This window comes from Homo sapiens, chromosome 11 (genome assembly GCF_000001405.40).
Source record: "Homo sapiens chromosome 11, GRCh38.p14 Primary Assembly".
NCBI lineage: Eukaryota > Metazoa > Chordata > Mammalia > Primates > Hominidae > Homo > Homo sapiens.
The window spans coordinates 8,276,286-8,299,687 of NC_000011.10; the positions used below are offsets into that span (position 1 = coordinate 8,276,286).

At 50.4% G+C, this 23,402-nt stretch overlaps 2 annotated features.

Annotated features, from left to right (window-relative positions):
- Positions 6,017–6,578: an enhancer, noted in NCBI's record as "H3K4me1 hESC enhancer chr11:8303849-8304410 (GRCh37/hg19 assembly coordinates)". NCBI's record gives its function as "activates a minimal SCP1, AML or CMV promoter by ChIP-STARR-seq in naive H9 embryonic stem cells {active_cell/tissue: H9 hESC(naive)}" and the evidence as "EXISTENCE:reporter gene assay evidence [ECO:0000049][PMID:30033119]".
- Positions 6,579–7,140: an enhancer, noted in NCBI's record as "NANOG-H3K4me1 hESC enhancer chr11:8304411-8304972 (GRCh37/hg19 assembly coordinates)". NCBI's record gives its function as "activates a minimal SCP1, AML or CMV promoter by ChIP-STARR-seq in primed H9 embryonic stem cells {active_cell/tissue: H9 hESC(primed)}" and the evidence as "EXISTENCE:reporter gene assay evidence [ECO:0000049][PMID:30033119]".

The following is a 23,402-nucleotide window of genomic DNA, read 5'->3' on the forward strand; positions in this document are numbered from 1 at the left end:
AAGGAAAGATGTGAAAGCCTGCACTTGTTCAGGCTGTCAACACTGGTGACCTTAGCGAGTAGGAATGGAAGGTAAGAGTGAAGGAAAAAGTATACACTGAGCCAGGCATGGTGGCTCACACTTGTAATCCCGGTGACTCGAGAGGCTTAGGAGGGAGGATCGCTTAAGCCCAGGAATTAGAGGCTGTAGTAAGCCAAGATCCCATGATCATACCACTGCACCCCAGCCTGGGCAACAGAGTGAGACCTTGACTCAAACAAAAAAGTATACACCTATCTTTTCATTATTTATAATGTATGAGTAATTTATACTTTTTTCAATTTAGAAATTAAATGGGAGTTGTTTTTGACACACCCTCCAATCAGTCACTGCTATTGCCCTAGTCCAAGTCGCCATGATCTCTTGCATACTGCCGCAAGAGCTCCTTACTGGCCCCCACCCAAAGTCCACCCTGGGCCTCAATGATACAGCCTCTATTACTCCATGCGCAGCCAGGAGATATTTTTAAAATGCAAATCAGATCTCGTCAACCAACCCTCAAAGCTTCCTGTTGCTCTCCACAGCAAGCCCCCATCCTCTCTCTGCATGTCCACTTGGCTCTGTATGAGCAGGCTCTCCTGAAGTGTCTCCCATCACTGACACCCACCCTTGCTCCTATGATGTAGCATTTTACCCTTGTCATTGTCTGAACCACCACTTGTCTCCAGGCCTGCAGGAGCACCATTTTTTTCTGCCTGAAATGTTCTTGCCCCCTTTTATTTGGACCACCTCGTGTTCATCCCTTGGATCCAGGATTAAATGTCAGGGTGGCCTCTCCCCTCAAGACTAGGTTAGGCCTCCCTGTTATAGTCTGACATGGGGCCCTCTGTGCTTTTCCTCCATAGCTCTTATCACAATGATCTAGTTAATTACATAGTTATTTGTATAATTATTTGTGTGACAGCGATAAAAGAAAAACTATTAAGCTATAAGTGTTTGCATCTTCTTCTCCAGCCTCCTACCTTGGGAGAAAAACGGGTCAGAGAAGAAGGTCTCAGGGGTCCAATCCAACTCAGATATTCTGAACTTACTCTTACTCCATACACCTGCCACCCTAGCCCCTGTTGGGAGAATTTGCCTGGCTCAAATATTTCCCTCCGTTCTTTCATTTATGTAGCCAACTAGCTTGCTCTGAGACTTGATTATGGCAAAAACGTCTGAGGTGCTGATGAGCTTTCAGGCTTCCCCAGCCAGCTGTTGTAGGGACCTCTCCCCACCTCCAAATGGCTTCATTTCTGCACCTCCCACCTTTCAGAGACCCTTACCAAGGGGGCTCCTGGGTGCCCACAGTCCCCTCTGAGGCTACGAATACCCCAGCAACCAAACCCCACACAGCTTGACTTGCAATGTCAGACTCTCAATCTGAACCCTGATTTTATGTGACTAGGGGTCGTCTCCTCCCTCTCCCACCCTCCTAATCACCTGTCCACTGATGACTGGAGACCTGGAGTGATCCTGGGCTGGGTCTAAGGGGCCAGCTGTGCCACGTGCTCTGGAGGCTGGTGCTGGTCCGTGAGCTTCATGGACGCCAACCGACTGGGCCATGGGGCTGAGCACTGTGACTCACTCCCAGAAAACAGACTGTTTCCCAACCGGCTCACCAGAGTGAACACACCCACATGCAGGTGGTCCCCTTGGAGCTACAACCGCATGTCCCAACAGCACATGCATCTCAGAAACAGTCCTTCTCCATGCTGCAGGCAGGGGCCCAGGTATGTGGGACTGATGGGAGGGCACTCCTAGTCCCCTTCCTGGTCTCTCTCCCTCAATCTCTGGTGGGGTCTTCCTGCCCCACCCCTGCCCCATGATGGAAAAAGCCAAAGGGGTTCCTTCTCACCCAGCATCCAACCTGTCTGAGAGGCCCTGCCAACTCCAAAATGATACAAGTTTGGAGGAGAAAACAAAAACAAAAACAGAACAAAAAAACCCTGGAAGCACATATTCCTCCATAGCTGCTGCTACCTAGGACTTGCCTGGGCTTCTCCAAGCCCCTGTGCTCAAACACCCCTTGCGGTGAGTCAGAAATATTTGAGTCCTATCAGGACTGGAGGTCACAGCTACCACCTGGGGCTTGTACTAGATTGAGCCTTCTAAAGCCTGGGGGACCACACCTGGGGACAGGATGCTAATTCAAACCCTCAGAGCCTGCAGGTAGAAGTGGAGCTGCAGACTTGCTGGTGACACTAGGCCTAGATCGTGATTCTGACTCCACTTCTTGCAGATCTCACACTGTGTAACTTCCCCTTCCTGAGTGTGGCAGACTACTGGTGGCATATCCAACATGTCTTCCCTTCCTCCTGGGCACATGGCACTGGAGACTGTATTTCCAGCTTCCATTGCAATGGCTATAGATAAGTTACTAGTTCTCATTTGTAGGCAGAAGAGAGATATAAGCTATTTTCACCTCTTGCTTACAAGGGGAGAGACCCAAGTTAGACCAATGGGTTTCCCCAGTAGGAGTTTTGACATCGGAACCCAGAGAGCTGGGTTGGTTTCTTCTCTTTGGTGGCTGAAGCTATAAGATGTAAAAGTCAAGACTCATGTTGTCTGCCATGTAGATAAATTTGTTCTGGGGAAAGACAAAGACTATACCGGCATGAAGAAACAAGTTGCTTATCCACAGCTTCCTATCTTCCCCACTTTCCATAGATGGAATATAGATATTAGAGCACCCGGATTTGATTAATCAATACCCTAAGGTATGCAGAGAAATAAGACAGAAGGAAGCTGGGTCTCTAAGTGGCCTTGTGGAGTAGCCCTACCAACCTAGACTTTTTATCTCCTGTTATGACAGATAAATGATAAAGTTCCATCTTCTTTAGGCCATTGTAACTTAGGACCTCTTTGTTATAGTAGCTTAACCCTTTTCCTAATGAATACATTGATCCTCTGATTCCCCACCAATAAATAGTCTGAATGTGTTCTCCAAGTTCCAAGTTTCCAATTCTAGACTCTGCTTTGCCAGGCTCCTTGTTTCCAAAGAGCTTCCCAGGATGGAAACCTGGAGCCAAGGTTGAGCCTTGATGTGCTCCCTGCTTTCTCCTTGTTTCAAGAAGTTCCCTGATGCTCACGAAAGGCCTGATCCTGGGAGAGATGGAAGGAAGGACATGAAGAAGCATCCGAAGTTCTTTCTTTTTGGCTGGACCAGGGAGCTAAGGGCAGGTGGATTAGGATAGGCTACTGCCTATGTCTAAGGCTGCTTCATGTTCAGGGCCTCCAGTTGAGCCCAGATGGGTATTTATCCTGACCTTACGTTTCAGCTCAGCTGCTCCAACTGTAGGGAATCTGGCAAGGCTCACCCTTCACTCTCTCTTTCTGCTATTGTAGACCAGACTCTCTGAAACTAAAGATGTGGTCCAGGCCTATGGACACAAAAAAAGGTCTGGGGGCTGCTTTTTCCAAGCTCTACCTCATAGGACCACAGATGGGTCCCTGGCTCAACAGGTTAGGACCTCCTACTTTATGCCTTCCTTGCCTGAGGGTCCTAGCAACTTGGCTCTGCAACTCTTAGAATAATGTGATAACACCCAAACCTGTGCCCCATGGGACGGCCTCCGAGTCCAGTCTAGCCCAGCCTGACCATAAGCATTTCCCTAGAGGTGATCTTAACAGGAGCTTGGGAGCTGGAAGCTACTGGCCTAGAACCAATTGGTCTAGGATAAGCCTAGACCTGCTAAGGCCAGCAGAACCATCACAAGGAGTGCAGGTGGGGATGAAACTTCTGCTTGCTAGTCTGGACTGAAAGCCTCCCATTCTCCTTCATGTTCCTCTTGTTAACAACCAACACTGTCTCATGTATCCTAAGGCCAGGTCTCATGCTGGGTGCCAAGGTTCATGGTCACTGTCTTAGTTCATTTTGTGCTGCTATAACAGAATACCTGAAACTGGGTAATTAATAAAGAACAGGGGTTTATTTCCTACACTTCTGGGGGCTGGGAAGTCCAAGGTTGAGGGCCTGCATTTGGAGAGGGCCTTCTTGCTATGTCATCCCATGGCAGAAGGTAGAAGGGCAAGAGAACACAGTGAAGGAGAGAGAGAAAAAAAAAGAGGCTGAACTCATCTTTTATAAGAACACCGCTCCCTCCATAACAAACTTACTCCCAAGATAACAGCATTAATCCATTCATAAAGGCAGAGCCCTCGTGACTAATCCCCTCTTAAAGGTCTCATCTCTCAGTACGGTTTCATTGGGGATTACATTTCTAACACGTGAACTTTTGGGGACACATTCAAACCATAGCAGTCACTCTAATAGACAAATATGGAATTGTCTGTTGAGAATCCCTCCTCCCCCACCTTCTAAGTACTTCCCCCTACCCAATTACTCTATTCCGATGTTCCTGTGAAAGATATCCAGCTCTTACACAATCTTACCCCCATGGCCTTTTGGACCCTGAAGTGGGCAACTGATCTAAGTTGGCCCAGTGGGTTTTCCCACTAGGAGTTTTGAACTTGGGACCAAGGGAGTTGGGTTTGTTTCTCTCTGGTGGCTAAAGTTATAAGATGTAAAAGTCAGGCCGGGCGCGGTGGCTCACGCCTGTAATCCCAGCACTTTGGGAGGCCAAGGCGGGCGGATCACGAGGTCAGGAGATTGAGACCATCCTGGCTAACACAGTGAAACCCCATCTCTATCAAACATACAAAAAATTAGCCGGGCGTGGTGGCAAGCGCCTGTAGTCCCAGCTACTCGGGAGACTGAGGCAGGAGAATGGCGTGAACCCGGGAGGCAGAGGTTGCAGTGAGCCGAGATCGCGCCACTGCACTCCAGCCTGAGTGACAGAGCCAAACTCCATCTCAAAAAAAGAAAAAAAAAAAAAAGATGTGAAAGTCAAGACTCGAGACTCGTATTCTCTGCCATGTAGATAAATTTCTTCTAAGCCAGCATGAAGAGACAAGTAGAGATGGGTGACAGACATAGTCCAATAGTGTTTTGTTGCCTAATTCTATTTTTTTCTGAAGACCAGCCCCTTTCTTGCCCTTCTCTTGGCTCGGATGTTCTGAGTAAGTTGGGTTTCTATCACTTGCAACCAAAAGAAACCCAACTAACATATAATTGGTTGTGGAAGGCATAAAGGGCTCCAGCCTTAGGCAGACACATGGGAACTGCAGGCATTCCACCAAGGGAAAGCATTTGGCTAGGGACCACTGAGGGCCTTTATAGGAGCGGGCACTGGAAGTCCTGGAGACTATGCACCTGGCCCTGCTCAGCCTTCTGTATTCTGGTACAGCATGCTAACAAAGCCCAACATTTCAAGGCCTTCCAAACATGGCTCCCTTCCTTTCTCTATATTGCCCCTTCCAGAATTGCACAGCTTTAGCCATGTCAGTCTCTGACTTCCCCCTGCCATCCTGTCCTCCATGGCTTGGCTTCATCTGTCTTCCTCTAGGTAAACTTCTATAGTGATTCGAGTCCTCAGTGGTCTCCGCCATTTCCACACTTCCTTCTTGGAGGAAGGACCCATTTTAGGAGCCAGCCCTTATGATCTCAGTACTTTTCAAATTAAATATATATATATATGTGTATATATGCATATATATATATACACACACACATATATATACATATATATCAAATAAAAAGTGTTTCCCAAGGAATAAGTTAACTCAAGTCTGGCACACAGAGAGTGTGGGTAAATAGATGGATGAATGGATGGATGGGCTGAAGGATAGTGGAAAGTTAAACATTTGGGAAATTGATAGGTAGAAGTGGAAATCCACTGGAAAGTGGATTGGTATTAGCAGACACAGATGGGCTATTCAATAGGTAAATAGGAAGAATGGATAGGTGGGTGGCTGGATAGATAGACAAACGAACAGATAGATGGATAGATACATGGTGGGTGGGTAGATGGGTTGGTGGATGGGAAATTTTAAAGAAGGATAGATGGGCAGATGGGTAGGTGGGTAGATAAATATTTGAGAAGAAGGTGGCTGGCTGGATGAACAGATGGTTGCAGAGGTATTAGATTGAGAAATAAATGGATGAATGGACGGATGGATGGGTGATTAGAACCATACAATTGTACCCTGAATTATGAAATGCCTTCACATTTTGTGCCCTGCCTGTCTCTCCGTCTTATTCTCACTCAGCTCTCACATGTTTCTCCACTCCCTGGGCCATCAGCATCTGCCCTCTCCTGCTGCTAGATCTGGCATCCCACCTGGCCCCATGCTCCCTCCCCTTCAGCCAAAAGTGAGTGCAGCAGGCCCTCAGAACTCCATGCTAGGAAGTATTATGTGTGTTAGAGCATGCATGGGTGGAGGAAAAGAAAGTGTGGCCGGACAACCAGTAATGTCCCTTCTATTATGGCTATTCTGGGTGCTGTGACTAAGCCATATGCCATGGTGGAAGGGACAGTGCCCCCAGGTGCCTGTCCCCACACTCAAGGACACTGCCAAGTCTAAGCTTCATGGTCTAGGCCCAGAAATGGCTCTTATTTCAGCACCCTACACTCCCTGACCTTCCTTGTCACCTAATAAAACTGGCAATGGCCACTGAGTGCACAAGAGCACCTCCCCTCTCTCCTCCCCTCTTCTGCCTGCGGAATCCTTCAGTCACGAATCACTCCCTGCCCCGTCACACCGCCACCACCAGCTCTGCTCCCCTGTCCCTCCGCTCGGTGGCCTGCGGAGTCGGCACAGGGCTCCCTCCCTCCTTTCTCCTTCCGCTGCCACAGAAAAGTTTAAAGCGCTCAGACAATTAATATGAGAGTTGCCAGAAATAGACCCACTGCATAACAATTATACAGAAAAAAAACCTCTCCCCTTCCCCACATTTAATCCAACTTTAATCCTAGTCATTAGGAATTAGGCATGCCGAGCCGTCCGGCTGTGCTTCTAAATTACAATCAAACAGTTACCAATTACACAAATTATTGACGGTAGATTCTCTTTTCAACTGCAAATTAAGGCTATTAAGAAAGGCTCCTTTTTAATGCAAAAGTGACTAATTAACCAACGGCTGGGAAATCTGCAGCCCAGATATCAAAAAAGTGCTCCGTGCACATTGCGGAAACACAAGGGAACCAATTAGTTTAATTATCAAAACAGCTAATTAAAATTGCACAGTTCCTAATTAGTTCTTTGCTTTTGCCTCTAATTGACAGCATGGAGATAAATGGGCTGGCAGCGGGGAGAGGAGAAGGGGAGCACAGGAAGGCAGGAAACTTCGGCGGAATATTTATGCTGACTTTATCTCCGTCTGGGTGCCAGCCCTTGAAAGTGGAAAATTAATGACCTTAATTCCCAAACTGGTTTGCCTGGAGCTGTGCACACGGCCCGTCCCCTCCCCCCAGTGGCCGGGCAGTCCCAGCCCCGGCCCCAGCCCCAGCCCACGCCGGTCGCCCTCGATCTGGAGTGGAGAGGGGCTAGGGGGTGGGAAGAGGCGGGAGGGAGGGCGGGGGAGGAGGCGAGGGGCGGAGGCGGCCCTCCGGACGTGACAGCTCCCACTTAGCCTGAAGAGACATGAAAGAGGCAACAGATGCCACTTCAGGAGCAGAGCATCCTGGGAGCCCAGCCGGCGTGCTTGTGTTCCAGCGTTCAAACCCAAGGGGGGAAGAAAACGGTCTGGCTCCGTCTCTAGCACCCTCCCCCACAGCCCCCGGGGCCCGGCCCCTTCCGAGTCCTGCTGCCCGGCATGTCCAGACCTCTGGCATCACCAGGCCCCAGGCCTGCGTTCAGCTTCCCAAGCCCAGGGCCCGCACAGGTCTGCAGGGCAGCATTAGGAAGACCCCAGCGGGAGGAGGCTGGTCTTCCATCCTGGGAACAGGGCAGCTGCTTCTGAGGGGCAGATGTGGGCGCTGGGCATTTGGGATCTGACCACAGGCCTAATTAAGGCAGTGTTTCCTGAAGCCACAGCCACCCACAGCCAAGTCGATTGTACTGCTTTCCCCTTAGGGTGGCTCCTGCAAGGTTCAGTTCTCAAAGCTCTTGAATGGAGGCTGGGGCCAGTGAGCGTCTCTGGTTTCTCAGGGCCTAGAAGAGATCCCAAGCACTGCTGTCGCTGGAACCCAGTAGCTGGAGAGCAGACCTCTTTCCCTCCCTCCCCTTCGGAAGGAGCCCAGTGCATAATTCAGGGAATGCATAATGCATGGATTCCAGTGTGGAACAACTTTTAGGTGATTTGTAATTAGATTTCTGCTATAGAGTCTGCTTCATAATTAGAAAAAGATTACGTAGAGCTTCCTAGATTCTAGAGAAGGAAGGAGGCAGGGTGTGTATGTATGTATGTGTGTGTGTGTGTGTGTGTGTGTGTGTGTGTGTGTGTGTAGTATACAATACATAGTACCCTTCCTGGTTATCCCTCAGCATCCCTCCCATGGTCCCACAGGCTCCCACATACCCGCTCTGTGCTGGTCTTTCCAGCTACTGGCTGTTCTTGGAGCCTAGGAAGTTAGTTCTTCTGCCCCTTGCAAGCCTTTGCACAGGCTGTTCCCACTGCCCAGAGTGCCCTCCTTCTCCTCCTGCCTGCCCCAGCCTGGCTAAGTCTTACTTGCCCTTCAAGGCTGCACTGTGTTATACCTTTCCACGTTCTCTGTCTTCTTTCTGTCCTCAGCCTGACCACTTGGTCTTGCAATTATCTGTCTACCTCTACATGTCTCCCTCTCCCATCTTCTCCCCCAAGATTGTGGGCAACTTGGAAATAGGAACTGCGTCTTCATTTCTGGGTCCCCAGTGCCTGGCTTAATGCCAGGCACATGGCAGACACTTAGTGAGTTTTCATTCACTTAATCATTTCTCAAGCACCCAGCACCAGCAACTTCAGAGAGACAATATAGAGGAGTAGTTAAGAGTGTGGCCACCTGGGTTCAAATCCCAGCTCTCCCACTTATTAGTGGTGTGACCTGTGTGCCCTTGGACATATTACTTAACCTTTCTGGGCTTCATCTTCCCCATTTGTAGAATGGGGATCATTGTGGTATCTGTCTCTTGGGGTTGTCTTGAGAATTAAATGAACTAACATGCATATGCAAAGTGTTTAGAGAGGCACCTGATGTCAACATCTCCATAGATATTCCCCTTGGCCACGCCCTGTGCTGGGCACTGGGAATCTCAAGACGAAGACCCAGTGACTATACCTGGGGAACTCCCAGTGTGTGGGTGAGGGACTATAGGGCCAGAGCCCTGTCAGCTCAGGGGAATGGGTGGGGGTCTGCCCTCAACCCTTGAGAGTCCCATCAGCAGCCATCATGGATTGGGCCTTGAAGCCAGATAGCCTGGGTTCAAAGCCCTGCTCATCTCTGCGGCCTTGGGCATGTCATTCACTCCTCTAAGTCCTAGTCTCCTCCTCTGTGAAACAGGAACAATTAGAGTGTAAGAGGTATATGAGTTCCTGGTCTCTGGAAACATTCTCCATTGAAATGCCAGCATTTATTACAATAGGTCTCCAACTTGAGGTTGCCAAAGGGTATGAACTGGGCTAGGGGGTGAGCTGCTTGCTTCCTGGTGTGTTAGGTGAGGTGAAATCCAGGAAGAATCTACTAAAGGGCCATGTGAGGGCTTGTGGGCATCCTGCTCAGACCCCAAGTTGATGGGTGCAGGAATGTCTGAGGTGCAGGGAATGCATGTCTGTCCCCATCTATCCCTCCCGCCTGGTAGGAATGTCCCTGCTTGGGAGAACGAGGCTAGACATTCATCCTTCTGAGCTGTTGGAGGCCACTAGCCCCACCCAGAAGCAGCACCCTCAGGCCTAAGGGCAGAGCAGGAGCAGGAGAGGACCGCAGAGGGAACAAGGGCAGAGGTTCATGGAAGGAGAACTGGTCAAGGCCTTGGGAAAATCCAACTTAGTAGAGAGCATGGACTCAATCAGATTTGGGTTTGCATCCTGAAGGGGCCTCTTATTCTGTGTGCCTTAGGAGAGCCGACACCATGGCCCTGCCATTCTTGGGTTGGTTGGAGGCTGGAAGGGACAATGTCCAAGGAAGTGCTTTGCCAGCCTCACCTGCATCAGGCTGGAAGGAGGCTCCTCTCTCCAAAGGGGAACGTCACCTCAGGACCTTCAGAGTTTCTCTTGTATCTCTTGAGCCTGTCTGACACAAAAGCAAACCGTATCAGTCCTGCCTTCAAAATATATGCAGAATCCAGTTGCTTCTCACTGTGGATGCCCTAAGCTAAGATTCCATCATCCTTTGCTTGGATTGTTGCATTAGTTTCCTGCCTACCTTCTCGCATCTTCTAGACCATTTCACCTAGCAGCCAGAGTAATCTTTTTTTAATTTTTTGTTTATTATTTATTTATTTATTTTTGAGACAGTCTTGTTCTATCACCCAGGCTGGAGTGCAGTGGCGCGATCTCGGCTCACTGCAACCTCTGCCTCCCAGGTTCAAGCGATTCGCATGCCTCAGCCTTCCAAGTAGCTGGGGTTACCGGCGCCCACCACCGCACCTGGCTAATTTTTGTATTTTTAGTAGAGATGGGGTCTCACCATGTTGGACAGGCTGGTCTCGAACTCCTAACCTCAAGTGATCCACCTGCCTCGGCCTTCCAAAGTGCTGGGATTACAGGCATGAGCCACCACACCCTGCCCAGAGTAATCTTTTAAAAACAGGTCTCATCAGGTCATTCCTTAATGGCTTCCTGAGTCTCACAGAGTGGAACCAGAAGTCCTCTCCAGGGCTTTATATGATCTTCCCCATTCCTCCTCCCTCCTCCACCTGCCCCCTGGCCTTGTCTCCCTCCTAATCTCCTACTAGCTAACTTTGTTCTCACAGACAAGGCCTCCTGGCTCTCCCCCAAATATGCCAAGTATCCTCGTAGCTCAGGGCCACCAGGCTTTCTGTTCCCACTGCCTGCTCTCCACACTCTGTTCCTGGACCCATCACTTCATCCAGGTCTGTGTCCACATGTCCCTTATCCACCAGCCCTCCCCGTGGTGACTGTCCTCTCCTTTGCTATGTAATTACAGTACTTATCTTTACTCAAATATTTCAGAGTAGTTACAGTCATAGTATTAGAGTGTGTCTCTGTTCACTACATGGAAGCTCTATGGGAAGAACTATGTCTGTTTTCTCCCTCTTGCATTTCCAGCCCCTAGGACAGTGCTTGGCATGTAGTAGATACTCAGTGAACCCCTGTTGGCTACACTGAGTTTGGACACCAGGGTTCAGTGAGGCGAGCTCCCTAGGCCGTCCGAGCAGGATAAGGGAGGAAGGACTCAAGCCGGCCTTGTTTGTGCTGGGTCTTGCACACAGAACTGAAACTCTGTTCATACGAAATCTGGGGAGTGGCAACAGGCCACTTTCCAGATGTCTCATGGCCAGGCCCAGGAGGCTCCTGGCCTGGAGGTGCATTCATTCAGATACAGTCTCCACCTGTTGTGAGAGAAGGAGCATGTTCAGGGCTCTTGGCTCTTTCTCTGGGATGTGGGGGCAGGTGCCAACTGGAACCCTAGAGAAACTAGATCTGTTCAGGAGGCTGGTGACAGGGGGAAGAAGGGAGTCTGTTACCTCAATGAAACACAGGGACTCTGGTTTTGGCTTTGGTCCTGGCTTGGCCACTAACTCACCCTGTGACTTAGGCAAGGGTTTGTCCTACTCCTGGGCCTCAGTTTGCCCATCTCTGAAATGGGCAGTTGGATACAAGAAGCTCAAAGAGTAGCTTTGATTGTGATCTGCCTTACAAAAGAGGAAACTGAGCTCCAGAGAAGTTTGGCAACTAGCCTAAAGTTATGCAACATCTGTAATAAATGTCCTGGGTATGGATTTATCCCTGGCTTATTTGCTACTTCCCACTAGAATGGAAGCTCCTGAGGGGAGGGGCTTTGGCTCCAGGCCCTTGACTCCCACCTTTTCGTCCCCTGGCACACCCATGTTCAAGTCCCAACTTAGCTGATCTTTTCTCAAATCTAGACTTGTTTCTCCAATTAGGCATTGAGCCCCTCTGGGCAGGAACTACAGAAGTTTTCTCCTTCTCCCAGTTCTTCAGAATGAGACAGCTAGCAGGTGCTGGATGAAGGCTTGGTGAATAAGAGAGGGAGTCAGGTTGCCCAAGGCCACAAAAGGAGATGGCAGCAAAGTCAGGATCCCCATCAGGTCTTACTTGTTTCCCTGGAGCTTCCAGATGCCAGGATTGGGCTCTTTCATTCATTCATTGACTCATCCAAAAAATATTCACCAAGTGCCTACTATATGCTAGTTGCTGCTGGAGTGCTAGGAATACTGCAGCGTCCAACCACGCAAGGGCCCTGCCCTCAGGAGCTTCCATTCCAGTGGGAAGCAGCAAATATGCCAGGGACAGATCCATACACAAGACAATTGGAGATTACTGTGACAAGACCTGTGAAGGAAACAAAACAACCAGGCAGACAGTGATGCTGATTTAGATCAGGTTGGTCAGGGAAGTCCTCTCTGAACAGCCGAGATCTACAGGACAAGAAAGAAAACCATACCAGGCAGAGGGAAGAGCAAGGAAAAAGACCCTGAGGCAGGGAGGATCTTGGGGTGTGTGTGGAAAGGAAAGAAGGCTGGAAGGTGGTGGGCTATGTGGGGAGCTGGGGACGTAGGCAGGGGCTAGATCATGGCCCAGCGAAGAGTGTGCATTTTATTGGACGTGAGATGGGAAGTCATTGGGCAATTTGAGCAGAGGATTAAAATATGTGATTGACATTTCTACCGACCACTCTGACCCTGGAACTTCTTGCTGTTGCCAGCTGAGTAGTCACGGGGGTCTGTGGTCCCGGCTCTGGGGGAAGGAAGCCTCTGCTCCCAGGAAGACAGAGGTTGTGGGTGGCTGGCAGAGTCTGGGGCATCTCACCAGAGCACTGTGCCTCAGATTCTGGTCCAAAGGTGCCCAGCCTGCGTGCCAACCCCATGCCCAGCATCCTACTAACCCCCGCACATCCCAGGGGTATTCCAGAAAACCGCGCCTGCAAGATGTCTAGGCCCCCACTCCTTGATTATATTAATGCCAAAATGTATTAAAGAAGCGTGGTAAAAATGCCATTCTAATTGTTTCGTATACACGCCACTGGGAGGGAACTGATTGGACACAGCTCACAGGCAGTATGTTAATACGCTATTTTCATATGATGATAGCTTTGCATAATCTTCCCTTCTCCCAGCTTTGCAGGGACCTGTTGTTAACCAAGCCCCAGGAGAGAGGGGGAAAGGCAATTTGACTTCAAGTCCACTCCCCACCACATTAATTAGTCATGTGGCTGGGGAAAGGTGTGCTCACTCAGTACAAAGTAGACTTTATAATTTATACACCAGCTGTTTCCGTCCATTCTCCTCTCTGCCTGCCTCTAATGAAATCGTGTTACCAGAGAACTGACTGGCGTGAATTGAGCCTTTAATCCCATTGACCCTGGCCTGGCTGGAAGGGCCCAGGGGAGGGGGGCTGGGGCTTTTCAGCAAGGGGCTGCCTCCCCTCCACCCCAGGCTGCAAGCCCTCACAATGGAGCAGCTTGGCAAAGGCAGGGGGTGCTGGGAGCTGGGGGCCTGCCTGGCTGAGCAGCCCTCTTGGGGATCCCTGGAGACTGGGATGGCTCACATTTATTGCCTCATCTTCTGAGATCCAGCAAAGCACAACATTCTCATCTAGGTTGTTCCTTTACTTAGAGAACAGGGCAGGCCAGACTGTACAACCAATGAGCTAATGCTTGCTTTTCTGGCCATGGGGGCTGCTGGGAAAACAGAGGCATGATTCCATGGAGGGAAATGCTGCCCTAGCACCCAGCAGCACACCTACATTCTTCTGATCCACAGCAGAGCCCAGGGCCCCTTCCTGGAGAGGAAGGACAGGGCAGAGATGGGGACAGGCCCCAGTCCTGCTTGCGGTCTATGGCTCCAGAAAGACAGTGCTGAGAATCAAGGTCAGAGAATGCTTCTCTTTCCCTAACCTCCCACCCCACTCAAAAGAAAAACAAGCAGGACCAGGAGGCATCCAGAGCCACTCAGCCACTCAAGCAAATGCTGCAAAGCAGGGTGCATTTGGTGAGCAGGAATAAACACAGCAATTAGCACCATGGCAGCCTCTTAAACAACCTCTTAAACAAACACATGGGACCAAGTCAGGGGTGGGGGAGGTTCATGCATCTGTTGGAAGGGCCAGAGGCTACAGAGAAGATTTGATCTGAGGGAAGCTGAAAATAAGGATGGTGAGGCTAAGTTGCTGGGACTGGGCCCGATCTGAGGGTGGTGACAGAGATAGGATCAGGTGCTTGAGCTAGGGCTGGAATGCTGCTAGAGTAGTAGGTAGCGCAAGGGTGGTACAGGGACGTTGATGGGATGGGGTAAGGTAGGGACAGGCTGGCTTCCTGGCTGCCATCTTTAATTTACTGGGAATCCCAATATCCTCATGTGAATGTGAGGTCTCCGCCTAGGAAGGCACAGAGAGGTGAGATGCGGCATCCCCAGCCACGCTTCCAGTGGGCGTCCTCTACCCAGGCCCAGATACACTCCAGAACCTCCTGCCCATTGCTGGGCCTCTGCTCTCACCTCTCCCCCATCTGGAATGGCAGCTCTCTCTTCTGCTAAATCCCAGGTCCTTTAAGACTCAGACCTTGTGTCACCTCCCCTAGCCAGGCTTTCTTGATTCCCCAAGTTCATCTGTGCTGAGCTCATCATAGCCCACTCCTCGATAGCAAGGATCATCTCTGCGTCCCTTGCACCAAGCACAGGGCAGGACAACTGACCTTAAGTGGGTCTCCTCCCTTGGCCAGTCTTCAGTTTACTGATCTGTAAAATGGGTTTGCTGATCTATCAGAGTCACTCTGGTTGCCTGAGATCCCCAGCTGGATTCTGTCAGGCCTAAAACCACACTCTCTCCCCTCAGACAAGGAAGGGAACATTTCAAAGACACTTGACTGTGTTGTGGGCATCCAAGCTAATTTATTAGCTCTGAAATAGCCAAAGTACTTCTTTTGCTTAATGGCATTAAAAAGTAACCCACACACCTGTGACCAGTCCTCTTTTTAATGAAAGTGTGGGGAACATCAGGGGAACCTATCCAGGGAGGGAAAATGAAGTTGTCATTTTTCAATGTAATTAAACTTGGTTTTCAAAAATCTCCTGATCTGAAATGTGAATTACGCTAATTACTTCTGGTGGCTGCAACATTGATTTCAGTGTTAAAGTTAATGGACTTAATGGACTCTGCTTTTCCCTTAGATGTGGCTTGGGCCTCTTGCCGAAGGTCCTGTTTGCCCACTGCGAGGGGCCTCCTCTGGACCCTCTAAATTCCCTATCACCAGCTTCTGTTGCCCAAGGCACTCATGGGTTGGTTGCCCCAAGTCAGGCCTTGTCTCTGGGCATGAGGCCTCAGGAGAACAATTGCTCTTTCTTCCTTTCAGTGAATGTGGGTCAGACACCAGCCTCACAGAGTTTGGTCCCAGGAGGGGACATAGAGAAGGAAAAGGCAGGTGGCCCCTGTTTCCGGAGGGCAGGTGGCCTGGAGGAGGCCTGATAGGAACCTGTGGAAGACCTCAGGCAGGCAGGGCTGAGGTTTGGAGCCTGAGGCTTTCTCTGCAGTGAAAGCATCCAGTAATGGCTGGTGGGGGTGTGGGAGGGTAGGAGCAAAGAGATGGTGGAGGAGGCCAGGGAGACCTGCTCCCAGAGGAGGGCTGCAGGAGCTGGCCAGGAAGGCAGAAACAGGTGTGGGCAAGGCAGGGAGGTGAGCCCACAGGGTCAAGAGGAGGGCTGGGCATGGCCAGGCTGCAGAGTTCTCTCTGGGCAGCAGTGGGGATGGTAGGGGCCTTGGAGGGCAGGGCAAGCAATATGGATGTGGTCTTGAGTCTTGGCCAGAATGAGATGAAGCCCCGGTGTGACTGTACAACCTGGAAGCTGGAGGCCCTCCCTCTCTCAGGGAAGACTGCTTCCGAGGGCCCTGGGGCAGGCCGGGGTCGTGGGTGCCGCCTCTGCTGGCTGACCTGGCCCCTTTTCTGAGTGCCTAGAGTTCCTCCACCAACATGTCTTCTTAACTGGGAATCGGTGTCCTTTCCTGAAGGCGTCATAGAGGAAGACTTTGGTGTCTTCTGACCAAAGGGTCACAAAGTATGGGACCCTAGCAGTCCTGAGCGCACACCTGCCTCCTTTACAGATGGGACCTGGGTGGTGCCAGATGTTAGCCCCTAGGGGAAGAGGGCAGGCTCCCTCCAGGATGCAGCCACCAAGGACACGGTGACCAGGCAGAGCCGATCACACGTGGGGAAGAACCGGCCAGAGAGCCCTTTGGCAGGAACCTCAGGAACTGAGGCAGGAATGCCAACGAATCCCTGCCCCAATGGGGGTTTTGGCCGCCGAGACACATCCCCACATTGCTGCCAAGAGACCTGGGTCCTGGGGGGCTGACCCTGGAGATTGGGGGTGGGGTGAGGGTTGGGCAGCCTGGAATGGAGGGAAGGGCCCAAGAGAAGGAGGCAGGGCCTCCAGGGGTGGAACACAGATGTCTTGAAGAGCGCTGTGGGAGGCGAGGTGCGGTGGCTCATGCCTGTAATCCCAGCACTTTGGGAGACCAAGACGGGTGGATCATTTGAGATCAGGATTTCAAGACCAGCCTGGCCAACATGTTAAACACCCCATCTCTACTAAAAATACAAAAGGTAGCCAGGCGTGGTGGAGGGTGCCTGTAATCCCAGCTACTCGAGAGGCTGAGGTGGGAGAATCACTTGAACCCGGGAGGCAGAGGTAGCAGTGAGCCAAGATCGCGCCACTGCACTTCAGCCTGAGCGACAGAGTGAGACCTTGTCTCAAAAAAAGAGAGAGAGAGAGAGAGAACAGCAAGAGATGAAGCTGGCCAGGGTCAGAGTGAGAGAGGCCTTGACTCCCGAACAGAGGAGTGTGGACTTGAACCTGTAGAGGGTCCTCCGGGCAGGGGAAGGAAGGACCTGCCTGAGAAGAACACCCTGAGGGCAGAAGGGAGAGTGATGATGAGAAGGCAGCTGCTGGAACCCGTGTTCCTCGCAAGGAGGGCCTGATCTCATTTCTCCACCTCTCCCTCAACCTCCCCCATCTGACTGTTAACCATATTCACCTCACACATTTCTCTCAAATCCTCCCAGTTCTCCCCACCCCTGCCTCTTACCCCGACCCCTCAGTCCAGTCACCTTCATCTCTCTCCTGGGTTACTGCAAAAGCCACTCTCCCGGCCTCAGGGCCGCCCTCTGTATCCCCTCCTCCCAACGCCAGCCTCAATGAGCTTTGGACCAGGAGGTCTGACCTGTCTCTCCTTTTTTAAAAACAGTAGTGACTAACACTCATGTAGTGCTTGCCACAAGCCAGGCACTTGCGGCAAGTGTATGACTCTTGTAGGTGAATGCACTATTTTGAACCTAGCCACAATCCTATGAAGTTGACACTCTTATCAATCCCTGGGTTACATTTGAAAAACAGATCCTGAGAACTTAAGTAATAGTCCAAGGTTACACAGCCAGTAGGTGGCCAAGCGGGGGTTTGAATCCAGACCCCTTCCACTTCCATCCTTGACCTCTTTCCCCCTGCTCTCAACAGTGATGTCAGAAAGAGCCTGATCATGTTTGAGTCCTCACAATCACCTGCAAGGCCCTGTGTAACCTGGTTCCTTTCACTTCTCTACCCTCCTCTCCCACTACTTCCCGCTCCTCTCTCCATAGCAGCTTCATGGCTGTCCCTTGAACATGCCAAACCTCAGGGCCTTTGTACTTCCAATTCCTTCTGCCTGGGATTCTCTTCTGTATGTCCGCTTGCCTTGCTCCTCTGCCTCTTTCAAATCTTGGCTCAAATATTGACTTCCCAAGAAGGTCTCTATTTAAAATGTAAAATTGAAACTCCTGCCCTGAACTCCCTATTTCCCTTCCCTGCTTAATTTTTCACATGGCACTTATCACCTTCTGACATATCATACAATTTGTTTATTGTGGTACTTGTTATCTTTCTCTTCCCGTGGAAGAGAATGGAAACTTTAGGAGGACAAGGATTTTTGTCTGTTTTGTTCATTCAAAGATTCCTTCTGCTCAGAACAGTGCCTGAGACATGGTAGTCACAATAAATATCTTTTGAATGAATGAAAGTATCTTCACACTTCTCTACCTTTGCCCAGGTTGTTCTGCCTCCTTGGAATGCCTTTCCCCACTGGCACATGTGACACTCCAACACACTCTCTCCGTGACCTGTCCAATGGCACTCTGCCGAGAAGCTTTCCCCTAGGATGGTCCCAGCTCAGTGACCTGGTCCTATGCTACCAGCCACACACACGCTCTCTCCCCATGCACTGTGATCCCTGCATTTGACTCATCACCAGTCGAGATGGGGATGTTCTGACTGGGGGCAGGTAGGTGCTCCATTCAATGCTTTCTCTCAGAAGGCACACTCCCTTGTTGCTCTGGAGACAGGAATGAACCAAATCTCATGTAGCAGAGGTACCCAGGGAAGAGAGGACATCAGCTCCCTTTCCCTGCACCTGTGGTTCCAGACTCACCTTCACAGTTCTCTGGGACTTCGCTCCCTTGGCTTCTGCTTCCACTCCCAGGACTGTCAACTCTTCACTTCAAGTCCTGATCTTCAAACCGTGATGCACCCGTCTCAAACCTGTTCCCACCTCCATCAGTCTAGCTCCAATTTAGCTCTGGGCCCAGAGTCCAAGTTCACCGTGTTTAGTTGTGGAGGTTGTATGCTGCACAATTCAAAGAGGTGGCATTGATGTTGTGCTCTGTGTAAATGGCATTCCCTGGTGCCTGTATGATGCAAAATCAGCACAACACTCAGACCTGCTGGGCCCCATCCACAGTGTTTCCTTGGGCAATGTCTCCGTTGAGACAGCAGCAAGGTTTAGACACCAGCCCTGTTCCACTGGTGTCAGAATTTACCTGCCCTGCTGCATACAACCTCACTGAATTGTCTTGAAAAAAAAAAAAAGGAAGATTCTAGGAAGAAGGATCATCTGTTTCTGAGTCCTTCTGCCCCCTTCTGTGGGAGACGCTAAGCCCGCAGGAGAGCATGGGGAAGCAGCCGGGAGCAGCCTCCCCTCTGGACTAGGACTTGAACCATAGCTAACGAGTTTCTGGGCCCTATACACTTGATGGAGAGGCAAGAAGACCCAGTGTGCAGGGTACTTTGGGGATCATCCCTCGACCAGCAAGATATTTTTGATGTAGTATGATCACTCCTCATCATGTGGGTAGGAACATAGTGCCCCCTGGCCACCCCTCACCACCCCACTTCCCAAAACCAGCACTAATTGTACTGGCTCAGCCCCATCTAGTTATCTCGCCGCCATCACTCGAGATAGCCCATCAATTTCCCCATCTTCCTCTTTGGACACAACACAGACTCAGGGCATAATAACCATTATAATCACTTTCATTTTTCCATTTATGAGTATCAACCACATACAAGCAACTTACTAATTCATGTATGAGATGAAGACTGTCACTATCTCCATTTTAAAAATGTACAAATTGAGACTCGTGAGGTGATGTGACTTAGCCCAATTCACAGCAGCAAGTGGCAGAGTTAGAATTTGAACTCAGCTCGTCTGGCACCACATCCTACAGTCTTGGCCACTCTATTTCTGTCTCCAAAGCCTCTGGATGCTGAACAGCTGGTTGAATACACAACTAAACTACCCAACATGCAAGTGCTGCAAGGTGGGGATGTTGCCCTGTGCCCCAAGTTACAGCCCAGGCAAAGCGTGACCTGCAGTAGGGTGGATTGGGTGAGGGTTATTCCTATGCATATTTGAGGGTCTAAGGAAGAGAACATGGAAGCCTGGGCCTCTCTTCTCCCCAGAAGCAAATGCCTGAGTGAATTTCTCATTGAGCTGAAGTCAGGCCAAATCTGCTTCCACACAGGTGTTAGGTTATTCTCCCTGTTGGCTGGAAATTCGATTGCGGTTGATTTAAAATCCCGACACCTGTGTCCATCACCCGAGCCTCTACCATGATTACTGTCCCTATAAAGTTCCTAATCCCTGTACTTACACAGCGTCCTTACCCTCTGACAGGCCAGATCTATGTGAGCAGGGAGATTTGGTTATTATGTAGAAGAGTTATAAGAAATATGACTGCAAAAGCCAAGTCAGTTGAAATTGGACTATAATTAAATGCTTAGAAAATTCTATGCTTGGCTCATTTTAAAATCAAGTGCTTCTTTGTAGCAATTTCCTTTCTTTAATTACAATTTCCTGTCTAGTTTGACATTTACAATGCAATCTTGGGGGACATGTTTGTGATTTATTATTCCTGCTCCTATCAGGATATCACTGTGCAGAAATGAGTTTATAAAATAAGAGCTCAAATTATTATGGCCTTTGACCAATAAAGCAGGCTCATAATTTCAGGCCTGAGAGAAGATTACCATTTTTGACAACCCAAGGCAGAAATACTGGAGAGGGGGAGGGCACAGTTTGGGAAATTCACTCCATGTTCAAAAACACCGCATTGTCTCCTGAGGGAAGGCCAGCTTTGGAAGCAGAACATATTAATAACCCCTCAAATTTATACGAGGCTTTGCAGCTTTGAAGAACTTTCACTGTCATCGATTACCTCATCTTTGGAGGTAGACAGGTAGGTGCCTTCATCCCCCTCTTACAGATGATGAAACTGAAGCCCAGAGAAGTTAAGTGACTCGCTGAAGGTCACAAAGCCTGAAAACAGCGGTCTTTGAAACAACACTCAGGTCCAATCCAGTGAGTCCTTTCCCCACAATTTAATAGCTGTCCCTCAAGGCTTGAGAAGTGTCCTGAGACATGAAAGATGCCTTCAGTGCATCTCTGGGCAGGGAGCCCCTCTGCTTCCCACAGCAGGAGCTCTGACCAACCCCCAGAGCAGCACGTGTCCCGTGACTCACATATGTGCAGCCAACAGAGGCCACGGGGGCTGCTGGCCCCAGCTCATGAAAGAGGTGCCATAATTTCCTTTTATCTGTTTCCTTTCCTCTTGAGGCTTTATCTAGAAATTTGGGAGTATTGTGTACTCTTGGCCCGCAACATGCTCTTTTACCCCTGGGCTGCAAAGTGAGACTCCAAGCCCAGCACAGGAGGGTCTACCTCTGTGTGCACATGTGGATGTACAATCGCTCAGCTGCGTGTGTGCCTGGATATCCACAAATGTTTGGAGGTGCTGTGTTGGCACCTGTGCACATATTCAGGGCATACGTGTGGTAAGTATAGGTAGATATGTGGGTGCTGGTATAGAAGTGTGCATTATCACCCCCATCCATTCTTCCTAATCTAAAGAAGAGAAGGCCAAAGTGGACAACACACCAAGTAACTTTGGTAGGCCAGGCACGGTGGCTCATGCCTGTAATCCCAGCACTTTGGGAGGCCGAGGGGGGCAAATCACTTGAGGCCAGGAGTTCGAGACCAGCCTGGCCAACATGGTGAAACCCTGTCTCTACAAAAAATACAAAAATTAGCTGGGTGTGGTGGCAGGCATCTGTAATCCCAGCTACTCAGAAGGCTGAGGCAGGAGAATCACTTGAACCCAGGAGGCAGAGGTTGCAGTCAGCCAAGATCGCACCGCTATACAAAAGCCTGGGCAACAGAGTGAGACTCCATCTCAAAAAAAGAGAAAAAAAGTAACTTTGGTGCACTAAATGCGCCAGAATCATGAAAGACTGTTTCAGTAGCCTGGGAAGACCTTGAAGGGAATAAGGGGAGAAGGAAATTGGGTCTCCTGGGGGTTGTCTGTGGACCCTTCATCCTTTTATTTCCTAGAATGTGCTGTGGTAAAGGTGCCAATCCACCTGGTCCCCAGCTGAGGGTGGACGGTGACTTCTGTTGAGGTGGAGCTCACCCACTGGCCCTTCGCTGAGGCCACAAAGTCTCTGGGGGTGTGAGCCTCCCCAGTCCCACCTTCCAGATGCCAGTTGGCTATGCCCTCTGGTCAGGAAGGGGGTGATGCCCTTGTGATGATCACAAGGGGATCACAGGAGCTAGGGCAGGTCTGGGGAGTCCAGGTGTGGGTACAGTGAATTGGCGGCACCTCTGGGACATCCAAGGGGAGGTGTCCAGGGAGAGGTTGTGTGTGTAGATCTGGGAGCTGGGAGAAGGTCTATGCTGGGCTGTGGTTTCTGGCCCTCTGCCCTGCCCCCTTAACACCTGTTCTGTGATTTTCAGCTTTAATGTCCCTCCCCAGGTATGATGGTGGCTGTGCAGCCAGGATCAGAACAGATCAGGGCACTGGAGCCAAGGCCACCACGGAAGCAGTGGGTGTTACAGCGCCGGGACCAAGGTGGCCCCAGCAGCTGGTTGAAGGCGCGCTTGTGGAGCTGCTGGCTGAGTTTCCTTCATGAACAAGGCTTCTGGGCCCAGAACAGGGGTTTCTGGGGTGCCCTCTCCTGCTCCTCCTCTTGGGGAGGAGTGGAAATTGGGCTTCCTCTTTGTCTCACTTGAAAGGAGCCATTATGGGAGGTAAATCTCCATTGCTGGCTTTTGGCCTCAGATTAAGTCTGTCCAGAGACTCGTTTGTTGCCTGTGAAAATCTCTTTATTACTTCAAAACAATTTTAAGGCAGAGTGCATTAAGATTTCTGAAGAATGAGAAAGAAGCATATCCCCACACCGGGATGCTGGTTATGAAGTTCAAATGGATGGGGCAAGGCAATCCTCTTACAGATGGGGGAGAGGCTCAGGCCCACCCATCAGAGTCTAGAGGAAGTGCCTAACTGAAAAGCAAAGCAGCTCTCCTAAAGGCCACCGCCTGGGCTGGCCTTGCCAGGGCAGCTAGGCACTCACTTCCTTCCCCTGCACATATGCACCCACATTCATGAATGCATGCACACGCACAAATGCACTGCCCCTTCCTGTCGACAGCTACTTCCTTGAATCATCATATTGGCCAGGGAGGCAGCCTGGGTGGCTATTTGATCCCAATTGTTCAAAGGAGAAAATCAAAGCTCAGACAGGGAAAGCAACTCTTCCAAGGTCGACCAGGACCAGAACTGACATCTTCGCCTTCCAAGATCAGGACTTTCTCTCTAGAACTCCCCGGACCAATAAGCAGTCCTGAGGCTCCTCCTTGGTTCCTGACTCCATGAACAAGGCCAACCTGGGCCCAGGTGGGCCTGAGACTGTGAGGCCTCCGACCCCACCCCGCTCAAAGAGACAAAGGAGTAGAGCCCATGTGAATGCTGCCACCCTAACTCCATCCCATCCTTCTCCTGCAAGGGCCCTCTCAAGTCCCAGGACCAAGCAGGGAGAAAGGCAGGAGGAGATGAACCCATAGAGATCCATCCATCCATGCATCCATCCTTCCATCCACCCAGCAGGGTCAGCTATGTGGGTTGCGGCAGAGAGTAAGGAAACCACAGTTCTGCCCTCAAGTTGCTCGTGGACCTGAGAAGATATAGTCATTGCAAACCAGTGTGTTAAGTGTTGTGACAGGAAAAGCACAGGAAACCAAGGGAGCACAGAGTCACTTATCCAGCTAGGGGTGAAGGCCTCCTGAGCCT